The following is a 12,893-nucleotide window of genomic DNA, read 5'->3' on the forward strand; positions in this document are numbered from 1 at the left end:
TGTTGAGTGCTAGTGACATACCAGGCCTTGTTTGATCTCATTTAATTCTCACTAACAACCCTATGTGGAAGGTATCTTAGTATTTTCACTTTATAGATGAGCAAAATGAGATGCCATTACTAAGGTCATGAGTAGTCAGTAGGGTGGAGCCACAATTCTAACCCAGGCAGCTTTACTCTGCCTGAAGAGACCCCACTCTGTAGCTGTTAGGAGTGCAATCTGAAAGCAGACCAACCTGAGTTTTAAATCCCCGTACTATTCCTAACCTTCATTGTGTGAGGTGGTGTAAATTAATTCAACGTCTTTAAATCTCAGCTGTTTCATCTGTAAAAAGAGGGGAGGGAATAATAATAGGACCTACTCCAAAGGCCTGTTATGAGGATTAAACATACATTCTATAAAATGTGCAACACAGCTGGCTCCTGGCAGCTAGTAAGCCTCTCTAAATATTAGGGGCTATTATTATTTTTATTATCCTTGCTGCCTTCCTTTTCTCTAATTAAAAAAAAAAAGCTTTAATGGTTTTGCACTCTGAGTTCTATAATGTAAATATTTTTCACTAAAGACAAAATATTCATCCTAGTTTACATCAAGAGGATACATTTTAAATATGGGGCAAAGCTGGCACAGGGTATTTCTTACATAAATATTTTCTTGAAAAAGGAAAATAGGAGGCAGAACCCCCAGTAGGCCCAATTTCCTCTCTAATCTTCATTTTAGTAACCCTTTCTATTCCCTAAATAACTCCTAATGATCCAGTAATGTGTTAACAGTGACAGCTGATGCCAGAAAAGGTGTTCTCTCTGGGCCTGACATTTTCCTTAATGGTAATTCTAACTAGTTAAGGTAAACAATGTGAAATGTTTGGCATATTTTTTCCACAAATGGTAGTGGAGCGGAAATCATGAAAAGCCTTGTAAAGATGGCAAACCGATCTAGTGTAGCTTTGACAATTCTGTGACTGCTGTTACAAGGGGAAATAATAGAGTTAAACATCTAGGAACCCTTACCTTTGGGACAGTTGATAAATTGAAGGCATTTTCTGATTGTGCTTTACTTTAGATTAACAGTCTGGAAGTTTTCAGATTTAAAGAGCAAAGTTGTGTATCATTAAAACAACAAGAAGACATGATACATGCTAAGCTGCTCTGTACCCAAATATTGCAAGTAATCTTGGTAGCTCTATCTTTGAAGCCCAGTTTCGTTTACATTCTCCACTCTGATTTACTTTAATAGTCAAACACTTGGGTGGTATTCTCTACCTGCAAGAAACCTTGGAAGTAGTCTGGTTTAGGGTCACCAGTTTACAGATGAGGAAACAGGATCTCTCATGTAAAGGCTTTAAATCAAGTCTTGTGGTTCCCAGTAGTGTTCCTTTCCTGAGCATCCCACGCTGTCCTGAGTGGCTTTTGCCCTTCCCTTCATTGCCTTTGTTCCTGCCATCCCCCTACCCGTATTCATGATATAGCTGATCTTTTGGCATTCCTAACACCTAACAAAAAGAATTGTAAAATTCTTTTTGGAGGTTAGATTGAAGTCAAAGACTGGCCTGAATTTCCCTATAAATTGGAAAAGAAGTTTTATATACTGTGTGGCTCATGAATTAAGATCCTTTGCTCTAAATGACAGTTCAGAGCAGACTATTGTACAGTATTTTGCTTGCAAATATCTAGAAGTGGATATGTGATTAATTTGCTGACAGACCATCTCTGAAAGCAGTTCTAATGATGGACTTATAATTGATGGCATCCATCATTGAGAACCTAAAATATCCCCCTCCCTAAATTAAAAAAGATAAATGAAATAAACTAGGCTGAATGTATAAGCTGACAAATCTGAGGGAATTTAATGAAACTCTAAATTACCACAGCCAACAGATAAGAGGAAAAGGTTCCTTTGTTACTGATTATAATACTAAATTAAAAAAAAATTATCCAAGAAAGATAGTGGGGGAAACAAAGATCTGTGGTCCATGTATCAAACGAAGTTATTGAAATATTTTTAATAAGTATATCTATCTCATTCCCTGGTTATTGTTGATTCATATCAATCTTGTTAGTGCTGTTCGAAGACTAGTAAATGCGGGAACCGTCCTGTAGGATAGCTTAGATGACTGCTGTTGTAAGAGATTTTAGAATTAATATGACCTTATTTCCAGACTGCTGGGGGCTCCATACCAAATTCAGGTCATTCAAATGAGCTTTTCGGAAGGTGGTTCCTCAGTGTATAAGTAATTGTATCAGTTACTGTGCTTTCAGCTATGTATGAAAAAGACCAACTGAAAGTGACTTAAACAATGGATATTTATTATCTCCCCTAACAAGAAGTCCTGAAGTAAGGCAGCTGCAGGGCTGGCTGCTTTGGTGGCCAAGGACATAGTGGTAGCTTGGCATTCCTCCTTGTTTTTCCTTCCATGGTTGTAACATGGCTGAAGTGTCTTAAGTATCTTATCTTTGTACAGTGATACCTAGGGTTGGGAAAGGCACCTTTTCTTGTTACTATTCTTGCAGAAAATTGTTCCTAGTACTTCCTTAGTTTTGTCTCATTGATCAGACTTGTCACTGATAAGGAGAATGGAACAGTTCACTCAAATCAAGAGTTACCCAGTCTCTTGAACAGTTCATGCCTGCCTGCTGTCTGATTAAAATCAGTTCTAATGCCAATGACAGAAGAGAAGGGCCCCTTGGATAGGCAACTACAAATCCACTTAGATGGGCTATTGAAATTTACTGTGAAGGAAGTTTTGTGTTTTCTGTTTGTAACTTATTTCATTTCCTAGTTAATAAGATGAATGTGCTTCACCTTCCTTTTGCATTTTACTTTCTGCTTCACCTTTCTTTTGCATTTTACTTTCAAGTTTTACTTAGCTTGATATACTCTCTGCCTTCACCAGGACTCTGTCTACTAGTGACGATGTCGAAGACAGGGAAAATGAAAAGGGTCGCCTTGAAGAAGCCTACGAGAAATGTGACCGTGACCTGGATGAATTGATTGTACAGCACTACACAGAATTGACGACAGCCATTCGCACATACCAGAGCATCACAGAGCGCATCACTAACTCCCGAAATAAAATAAAGCAGGTATTCCTCCTTTCTGGTCTGATGGTGGCAGCACTTCCCATCACTATAGGTGTTGCAGCTTGGAGAGGAGCCATGGTAGTGGCTAATGGTCCTTAACAAAGTGATTCAAAATGCCACTTTTCAGGAGTTCTGCAGGTGTCTGGAAAGGCTGGTTGGGAAAGATCACAGAAGGCATCCTCGGCTGATTTCTCCCCTCCCCTGTGTCTTATCCTTGGTTCTGCCATTATTTCTCACTGCAGTGTGGAATGAGACAAGCAAGATGGCCTCCATTTGCTTGTGTCTTACGATCCATCCCTAACAAACCAGAAGGCATACTGGCCCTTGTATTCTCCATTCTCATTCTAGCAGTTATTCTTGTATTTCACACATCTAAACAATAAAGCATAATATTCTGACTGTTGATTCAATGCCTATTCTGAATCTTAGTGGCTGACCTATTGACACTCACATGAATTGGAGGGCAGCCAGTCGAATACCCTTTTATCTGAATCCAAACCACAGAAGCGAGAATGTCTCCTACATTGAAGTTGGTTGTGACTTGCCTGCATTTATTGTGCATTCTTGGTATTTTTTGTGAAGTGAAGAAAATTTAACCTACAAATTATTTAAACATAAAATGAAATGTTTATGAGAACAATTTTTTTCTTTTTTTTTTTTTTAGAGTTGGAGCCTTGCTCTGTTGCCTAGGCTGGAATGCAGTGGTGCATCACTGAAGCCTTGAATTCCTGGGCTCAAGCAATCCTCCTGCCTGAGTCTCCCAAAGTGCTGGGATTATAGGTGTGACCCACCATGCCTGGCAAAAAACCAAAATTCTTGAATATCATGCTTTAATTGTGACTAATGTGTATTAAGTTTTATTTTGTAGTTTTCATGTTTTGGAACAGTTTTTCTTTTATTTGTTATTTTTCTCTCTTTTTCTCTTCCTTCCTTTCTTCCTTCCCCCACGTTCTTTCTCCCTGTCTCTCTCTTCTCCTACCCCTCCTTTCTCCCCTACTTTCTTCCTTTTGCTGTAGGTCCTTGAGAAAACTCTTGGTTCTTGGGTCTATGCCTTTAGTACCTAAAGGATAAAATGGGTTTGTAAGGAGTATTTTCATAATTGGCCAAAGGATGAACTGATCAAATAAGGGTTATGTAGTATAACATTATAGTTATGTGGTTTTTAGCTGTATTTTTGAGATCACTCCTTTAATACCATTTAGTACTACTCTGTGATAAATAACAATAATTGCCACCACTTATTGAACACTGATTCTTTGCAAGGGATGATTATGTCCAATCATCTCAATGAATTTAGAATTTAAACTCTAATCTCCCAGATTCTAAAGCCGTTGTTGCTGATTTTCAGGCATTTTTAAAGCAGCAGAAACTTTTTTTTTTAATGTGATATTTTGCAGAATACCAGCATGTCAGTCATTAAGAGAGGCAGTGCTCTCCTCTTCTTTGGTTTTGGGGTGAGAGGTCCAAAGCATCATACTTGGTTCCCCCCACCACTGTGGGACTGAGTGATGCATAGACTATGGTTTAAAATTCACTGCCCTGTGCTATGAGATTGGTTAGGGGACTGGCTGGCCTGTATCTGCCCAGTAACAGCTGTGCATATGGCATCTTCATGTTTTGTTTTCTGTCCATTAGACTTATATTATGATTTTGTAAGCAGATACATAAATTATGCTTCTACAAATACTGATGATATATGACTTTCAGCTTCTAAGAGTTTAGTTCCAGAATCAGTATGCTCTTAACCTTTTTGGAAGCCATGTGTTGACCTCTTTATATTTTAAAATTAACTGGGCATTTTTTTTTTTTTGAGACGGAGTTTAATTCTTGTTGCCCAGGCTGGAGTGCAATGGCGCGATCTAAGCTCACTGCAGCCTCCGCCTCCCGGGTTCAAGCGATTCTCCTGCCTCAGCCTCCCGAGTAGCTGGGATTACAGGCATGCGCCACCACGCCTGGCTATAACTGGGCATTTTTGAAAGGAATACTATAATTCTTTGCCTTTACAAGTGCTGAGTTCATCCTATGGATTTATCTGTGAAACTAGTTAAAGTTATAGATCACTTGCTCTAGATTTAAAGTAAACTGTAGTCCATTTTGACCCAATATACTAAGCTCAAGAGGGGTCAATGAATGTATAGAGCTGCTGACCTTCTGGCTTTGCCTCAGGTAATAACAGCAAAGGTGAAGGACCTCATGGTATTTGTATTTTCTGATTAGTCTGGTTGACTGAAAAGACTTTGTCCTAATCTCATGGGCATGGGAAGCACCAGCAGTGATTTCTGCTTTGCTTCCCATCATTCTGAGTCGATAACATCTTAGCCGCTAACAAAGAATGTTCGCCTGATATTGAAAAAGAGCCTTGTCTTGATCATTTCACATTTGTTTTAGTAGCCACGTTTCTTACCATCCTCATTTTCAGTATGCCAGAGTTTTGAGCAAAAGAAAATAACAATGAAAACTTTATTATATCTGATAATTGTCACGAAAGTAAATGTCATATTATTCTGGGTTATGAATTAGCTTCAATATTGGGTAGAGAAATAAAGGGTCAGAGCTCTTTTCAAAAGAGCCTTTAATAATTGATTAATGGGAAAATAAAAGGGGGGAGAATGAAAATGAATTTGTTTTTGACAATTTTGTACCATGACAGTCCATTTCTTGTCACCAAGGAAACACTGATGTTTTCTCACTAATCTTTTCCTGTCATTTTTGGCTTTTAATTACACTTTGGATTATATATGAAATATAGGTGTGTATTTTTTTTAAAGTGAAAACATGGATGATTCAGTAACGATTGGGCTACGTTATCTCAGAGCCAAGCAAAATGTTGAGAATGTGTAGATCTGAGTTGAAATTTTCTTTCTATTTTCTGCCAAAAGAATAAGGATTCATGCAGCAAATATCTGTTGAGTGCCCGCTATGTTGCTGATTGTGTTTTAGGTGCTAGGGCTGCACAAATGGGAAACACCAGTTCCTGTCCTCAGGGAGCTTATGTGCAAATGAGAGGATAGAAAACGAACAAATAGATAACGTTGAACAACATTTATGTAGTCTCTATGTATCGAGTGTCTGCTTTGTGCTGAGGATTGTTCTAGATTTTCAGGTGTAGAAGTGAAGAAAACATAAACATTTCTGTCCTTGTGGAGTTAAATTCTAATCAGGGGAGACAGACTACAGACTATAAGTGAATATATAAGTAAAGTGTGGTATAGCAGATGGTAAGAAGTGCTACACACACCCCCACCCACTCACCAGGGAGGGGAGACTAGGGACTTGCTGTTTTAGCTGGGTTGGCCAGAAAGGGCTTCACTGAGGGCCCATATGAGCCAACACCTGAAGGAGGTTAGGAAGAGTGTCAGGAAGAGCATTCCAGGAAGAAAGGAAGCAGGTGCCCAGATCCCAAGTCAGGGGCATGATTGGAGGTTTGGAGCAGCAGCAAGGTGGTTGATGAGGCTGAAGCAAAATGAGGCATGGGGAGAGTGGCAGGAGAGAGATGAGAGAGCTAGGGCATGTGGTGTGGTGGGTGGGTGTAGGGAAGTCACGTAGGGTCTTGTAGGTCACTGGAAAGACATTGATTTTAACTATCGGTATAATGGGAGAAATGATTGTAATGCTTTGAGCACAGGAATAACATGATGTGGCTAACATCTTTTTTTTACTATTATTATACTTTAAGTTTTAGGGTACATGTGCACAACGTGCAGGTTTGTTACATATGTATACATGTGCCATGTTGGTGTGCTGCACCCATTAACTCGTCATTTAGCATTAGGTATATATCCTAATGCTATCCCTCCCCACTCCCCCCACCCCACAACAGTCCCCAGTGTGTGATGTTCCCCTTCCTGTGTCCATGTGTTCTCATTGTTCAATTCCCACCTATGAGTGAGAACATGTGGTGTTTGGTTTTTTGTCCTTGCGATAGTTTGCTGAGAATGATGGTTTCCAGCTTCATCCATGTCCCTACAAAGGACATGAACTCATCATTTTTTATGGCTGCATAGTATTCCCTGGTATAGATGTGCCACATTTTCTTAATCCAGACTATCATTGTTGGGCATTTGGGTTGGTTCCAAGTCTTTGCTATTGTGAATAGTGCCGCAATAAACATACGTGTGCATGTGTCTTTATAGCAGCATGATTTATAATCCTTTGGGTAGATACCCAGTAATGGGATGGCTGGTCAAATGGTATTTCTAGTTCTAGATCCCTGAGGAATCATGATGTGGCTAACATCTTAAAAGGCCCACTCTAGCTGCTGTGCTGGGAATAGATTTCATTGGAGACCAAGGCAGATGAAGATGTTCATATTTGTGCATTGTCACCTTTTAAAGCTTGAGACCACAGAACTGTTTATGCTTGCCATTTGAGAGAGGGTCTCTCTCCATCACCCGGGCTGGAGTGCAGTAGCACTATCATGAATCGCCATAGCCTCGACCTCCCACACTCAGGTGATCCTCTTGCCTTAGCCTCCTGAGTAGTTGGGACCATAGGTACATTCCACCATGCCTGGCTAATATTTGATTTTTTTGCAGAGACTGGGTCTCCCTATGTTACCCAGGATGGTCTCAAACTCCTGGCCTCAAGTGATCCTCCTGCCTTGGTCTCCTAAAGTGCTGGGATTATAGGCGTGAGCCGCTGTGCCTGGCCTACATGTCTCATTTTTTGACATTACTTTCATATATTGATTTACATTATATTGGTAGATTCTATGTTTTTGAGGATAAAAGTGAGCTGACAGATGGATTTAACTTTCTTCCCTGATGGTCCAAGCTTTTTTAAAAAAATTAATTATTGATTTATTTTAGAGATAGGGTTTCACTCTGTTGTCCAGGTTGGAGTGCAGTGGTGCCATCATAGCTCACTGCAGCCTCAAACTCCTGGGCTCAAGGGATCCTCCTGCCTCAGCCTCTTGAGTAGGTGGTATTACAGGCACTCACAACCATGCCTAGCTAATTTAAAAAAATTTTTTATAGAGACGAGGTCTCAACAGAAGGCTCATAGGCTCAGCCTTGATACCATGTACAATTGATCAGGTCAAGTAATGTGGACAATAAGCAAAATAACTGGGCAGTTCTATTACTTTTGAATGCATTGTACAATTGCTCAAAATGAGATGTTATTGCATTGGTAAACCTCCAGTTCCATAGGTTCTGCCAGTGTCTCTCATAATAACAACTGATGGGCTTATTGTAGCAGCAGCACCAAAAGAAATGGATACGAGTTGATACAAATTGGGGAGTTGGGCCAAATGAATTGGTATGTTTCTCTGTGGTGTACTAGGTGAATGAGATGACCTCAGATTTCTTTAAAGTTACAAAGTAGTCTAATGCTTATCACTGGAACAGGGTAGGTTGAAGGGAGATACTTGGCTTTGTTGAGATGTGCACACAAACACTTAACATTTCATCCCAATTTTGACCACCCTATTGGTGCTAGATCAAGCTCTGAATCTCATTTTTTTTGCCTATAATGAGAAATAAGGGTACACGATTATTCAAGTGAAGTTGTTAGGGCTTAATCATTGAGTAATGAAACATTCATTATTTGGTAGATACCTAAAATAATTCTGGCTTTTAAATGCGATTATACCTTGAAAGGTAGAATTAGAACGAGGAATAACCTTAATATAAAAAAATGTCCTAGTAGAACAACATGGTTTGCTAGGAAGTTATTTACAGCCCAAATATAAGATGCTGCTTGTATGAGAAAGGGAAGAAGGCCTTTGGTTTCTAGAAATGGACATGCTAAACAGTGGGTAATAATGAGATATAATTTTAAATGCGTGCAGCACTCTAGAGCACATTAATGCAGTTGCTGGAACCATGAGGTGATCTTTCCATTAAGTTCAGGTGTGTGTGTATTTGTGTAAAGGAAGGTATTGGAAAGTGTTGAGGGGAGCCTCTCAGAATTTCAGAACTTAGAGTGGCAGCTGAAAAAACCCGGGGAAAGAAAGCACAGACAGTACAAGTTTGAAGGTAATTTAAAGATGATTTGTAGTTCTAAAAGGCTTTTAAACAGAACAATGAGTGGTATTTCCAAGGTTCGTTCTTTCCAGGTGCTTTCTAACTAACCTGCACAATGTGCACATGTACCCTAAAACTTAAAGTGTAATAATAAAAAATAAATAAATAAATAAATAAAAAGAAAATTCAATAAAATACATAATAAAAATGTATCATTAAAAGTCCAGAAAAAAAAAAAAGACTCCATGGAAAAAATTGGGTTGGTCTCTTACGGCAGGAGAAAACCTATGATAGTACTTATATGTAGATTTACTTTCGCCAACAAAATTCAACAAAAACAAAGAAGACATCTCAGTATTTTATACTTTTAAAATTAAGAATGATGTCGACACATTAATTTTCATTTACTATCCTTGACTCATAGATAACTTTTTAGGATATTTCTAGTCTGTAGTTTCAATGAGTTGTTTGCACATTGTTGTATTCTATTACAGATAATATGCATGCTCAGAGGCATTTCCTCCCTTCTTTATCTTTTCCTTGATCCAAATTCAGTACTTTTCTTTTCTATTTTTTTTTTTTTTTTGGAAAGAGTCTCGCTCTGTTGCCCAAGCTGGAGGGCAATGATATGATCTCGGCTTACTGCAACCTTCGCCTCCCGGGTTCAAGTGATTCTCCTGCCTCACCCTCCCAAGTAGCTAGGATTATAGGTACCCACCACCACACCTGGCTAATATTTCTATTTTTTAGTAGAGATGGGGTTTCACCATGTTGGCCAGGCTAGTCTTGAACTCCTGACTTCAGGTAATCTGCCCAACTTGGCCTCCCAAAGTTCTGGGATTACAGGCGAGAGCGATCACGCCCAGACAAATTCAGTACTTTTCTGATTTTATGACTTAAAAGTTATGGTCTTCCCCAGGCCTGTGTCCATAAGCCCCTCTCACTATATAGATCTCTGGTCTTCCTCTCACAAATGCTAAGGCAGTTTTATTCAAAGCCCCACTTAGCTTTTCTCACCCCTTTATCTTTTCCAAAAGAGGGCTGCAAAAATTTCAACTTCTCTGCCGTCTGTATCATCTCACATTTCTATTCACAGTAGCCTCTTGGGCCCTGTTTTCTTTCTTTTCTCTTTTTCTAATAGCCTCTAGTTAGGGTGACTTGCAGATTTTGTGAAATTGTAGCTATTGCTGAATAGGTGATTATGAGCAACTGTGAAGTTACTAAAACTCTGAGAAAGCAAAGGAAATTTGTCTCTGACTTGATATCATGGTTTGAACAACCTTTTCACCCATTTGTTTTAGGAAGAAACAGAGTAACATAATTTTTCAATCTTAATTATACTTATAAATTAAATAGAATGAAATGAAAATACTGTCATCACATTTATAAAAGTAGAACAGAGTTTTGAGAAATAAATGTTTCAGTGTAATTTGATACTTTTCTAACATTTGAATGTTATTCATTGATGGGTATAGCCCTGTTCCTATTAAAAAAACCTTTTTTTTTAATTTTTAAAAATTGACAAATAAAAATTACATATGTTTGTAGTAGAGAGCATGATGTTTTGAAATATGTATACACTGTGGAATGGCTAAACCAAGCTAATTAACATATACTTCACCTCACATGCTTATCAGTTATTTGTGGTGAGAATACTTAGAATCTACCTTTTCATCAATTTTCAGGCATACAATACATTGTTATTAACTGTAGTCACCATGTTGTGCAATGGGTTTCTTGAACTTACTTCTCTTGTCTAACTGAAGTATTGTATCCTTTGACCAACATCTTCTCAACCCGTCCTCTCACCCTGAGCCCCTGGTAACTACTGCTCTACTTTATGCTTCTATGAGTTTGACTTTCTTAGATTCTACATGTAAGGGAGATAATGCCAATATTCATCTTTCTGTGTCTGGCTGATTTCACTTAACATAATGTCCTCCAGGTTCATATGTGTTGTTGCAAATGACAAGAGTTCCTTTTATTTTTGAGACAGGGTCGCACTCTGTTGTCCAGGCTGGAGTAAATGGTGCAGTCGGCTCACTGTAGCCTCGACTTACTGAGCTCAGGCGATCCTCCCACCTCAGTCTCTCTGCTATCTGGGACCACAGATACTTTTTTGTGGAGATGGGTTTTCACCAGGTTGCCCAGGCTGGTTTCAAACCCCTGGGCTCAAGTGATCTACCCACCTCAGGCTCCCAAAGTGGTGGGATTACAGGTGTGAGCCACCATGCCCAAACAGATTTCCTTCTTTTTAAATGCTGAATGGTATTCCATTGTGCTTATACCACATTTTCTTTATCCATTCGTCTGTTGATGGACACTTACGCTGCAGTGATCATGGGAGTGCAGATATCTTTTTGACATATTGACTTCAATTCCTTTTGATATAGACCCTGTAGTGAGATTGTTGGATCATATGGTAGTTCTATTTTTTAATTTTTTGAGGAAACTCCATACTATTTTCCACAGTGGCTGTATTTTCCATCTTTATTGAGGTATAGTTTACGTACAGTAAAATGCCATATTTTCAGAGTGCAGTGCAATGAGTTTTGGCAAAGGTATATATCACTGAATGTGTTACCATCACCCCAGAGCTCTCTCCTGCCTTTTTGCGGTCAGTTCTCTCTCACATCCTGCTCCAAGCAACTGCTGATTTGAATTCTGGCACTACTGATTAGTTTTCCCTATTCCGGAACTTCGTACATTATTCCCTCTTTTGTGTCTAGTTTTTTTTGCTTGCCATAATGTTTTTGAGATTCTTCATTGTTTCTTCCTTTTTGTGGCTGACTGACCCTATCCCCCAAGTTCTAAAATAACATTTTTCATGACTGTGACTTTCTAATCATAAAGCAGAAGGCTCAGGGCAATTTAGTATTAAAAGTTCCTGTAGTTTCTTTGGTCTGTAGCTTTGTTACCTCGGTTTAGAGAATTTTGGTGTGGTCATTTTCTACACAGCCTGATGCTAATTTTTTATCCCCCACAAATTCTATTTCGCTTTTCCTTCCATGTAGTAAGCAAAAGTGAGAAGTGAGCTGATTACATTGCACATATCCTAGTGTGAAGTGACACAATTGTCTTTTTCCAATCAGATAGGAGTTTGCCAAGCTTTACTGACACCCTGTAAGTTTGTCCCTGACTCTTGATCAGGAGCCTAGTTGGGTGTTGTATAACATAAGATTTATTTTTAACTGTTTCCATAGTAACCGTTACACATAGAGGAAAAAGCTGAGAACTATAGTAGCAAGGTGATATAAGTAGGATATCAGAAATCAGATTCTAACAGATTTGAACTAAGATTTAAAATGGAATGATTTAATAGCTGGAGTCCTTAACTCAGAGACTAAGAACTCCAGTGGAATTTAGGAATGGCTTTGAGAGATATGTTTTATTTTATTTTATTTTATTTTTTTGTGAGACGGAGTGTCGCTCTGTCGCCCAGGCTGGAGTGCAGTGGCCCGATCTCGGCTCACTGCAAGCTCCGCCTCCTGGATTCATGCAATTCTCCTGCCTTAGCCTCCCGAGTAGCTGGGACTACAGGTGCCCGCCACCATGCCTGGCTAATTTTATTTTTGTATTTTTAGTAGAGATGGGGTTTCACTGTGTTAGCCAGGATAGTCTTGATCTCCTGACCTCGTGATCTGCTTGCCTCGGCCTCCCGAGGTGCTGGGATTACAGGCGTGAGCCACCGTGCCCGGCCTGAGAGATATGTTTAAAAGTCAAATAAAGCCACAAATGATGATAAAAGACTGGACTCTCCTACCTCATCCTACCCCGGTCCCAGTTCCAACATCTCAGAGATGCTGACTTTTACTCTTTTAGTTTTTCTTTTTTAGGTATTTCTATT

General features: G+C 39.2%; 1 protein-coding gene across 11 annotated transcripts in view; it reads left to right on the top strand.

Annotated features, from left to right (window-relative positions):
* The window catches only part of EXOC4 (exocyst complex component 4), an 847,874-nt gene that overhangs the window by 19,011 nt on the left and 815,970 nt on the right, over window positions 1-12,893 (top strand). For all 11 annotated transcript variants that reach the window (XR_007060126.1, XR_007060125.1, XR_007060123.1 and 8 more), the window contains exon 2: window positions 2,894-3,083. Coding sequence is in view for 3 of the 11 variants with exons in the window: in NM_021807.4 (NP_068579.3) it covers window positions 2,894-3,083 (190 nt within the window). In the remaining 8 variants the exon portion in view is untranslated. The remainder of the gene's footprint in view (window positions 1-2,893; window positions 3,084-12,893) is intronic.

This window comes from Homo sapiens, chromosome 7, assembly GCF_000001405.40.
Source record: "Homo sapiens chromosome 7, GRCh38.p14 Primary Assembly".
In the NCBI taxonomy this organism is placed as follows: domain Eukaryota; kingdom Metazoa; phylum Chordata; class Mammalia; order Primates; family Hominidae; genus Homo; species Homo sapiens.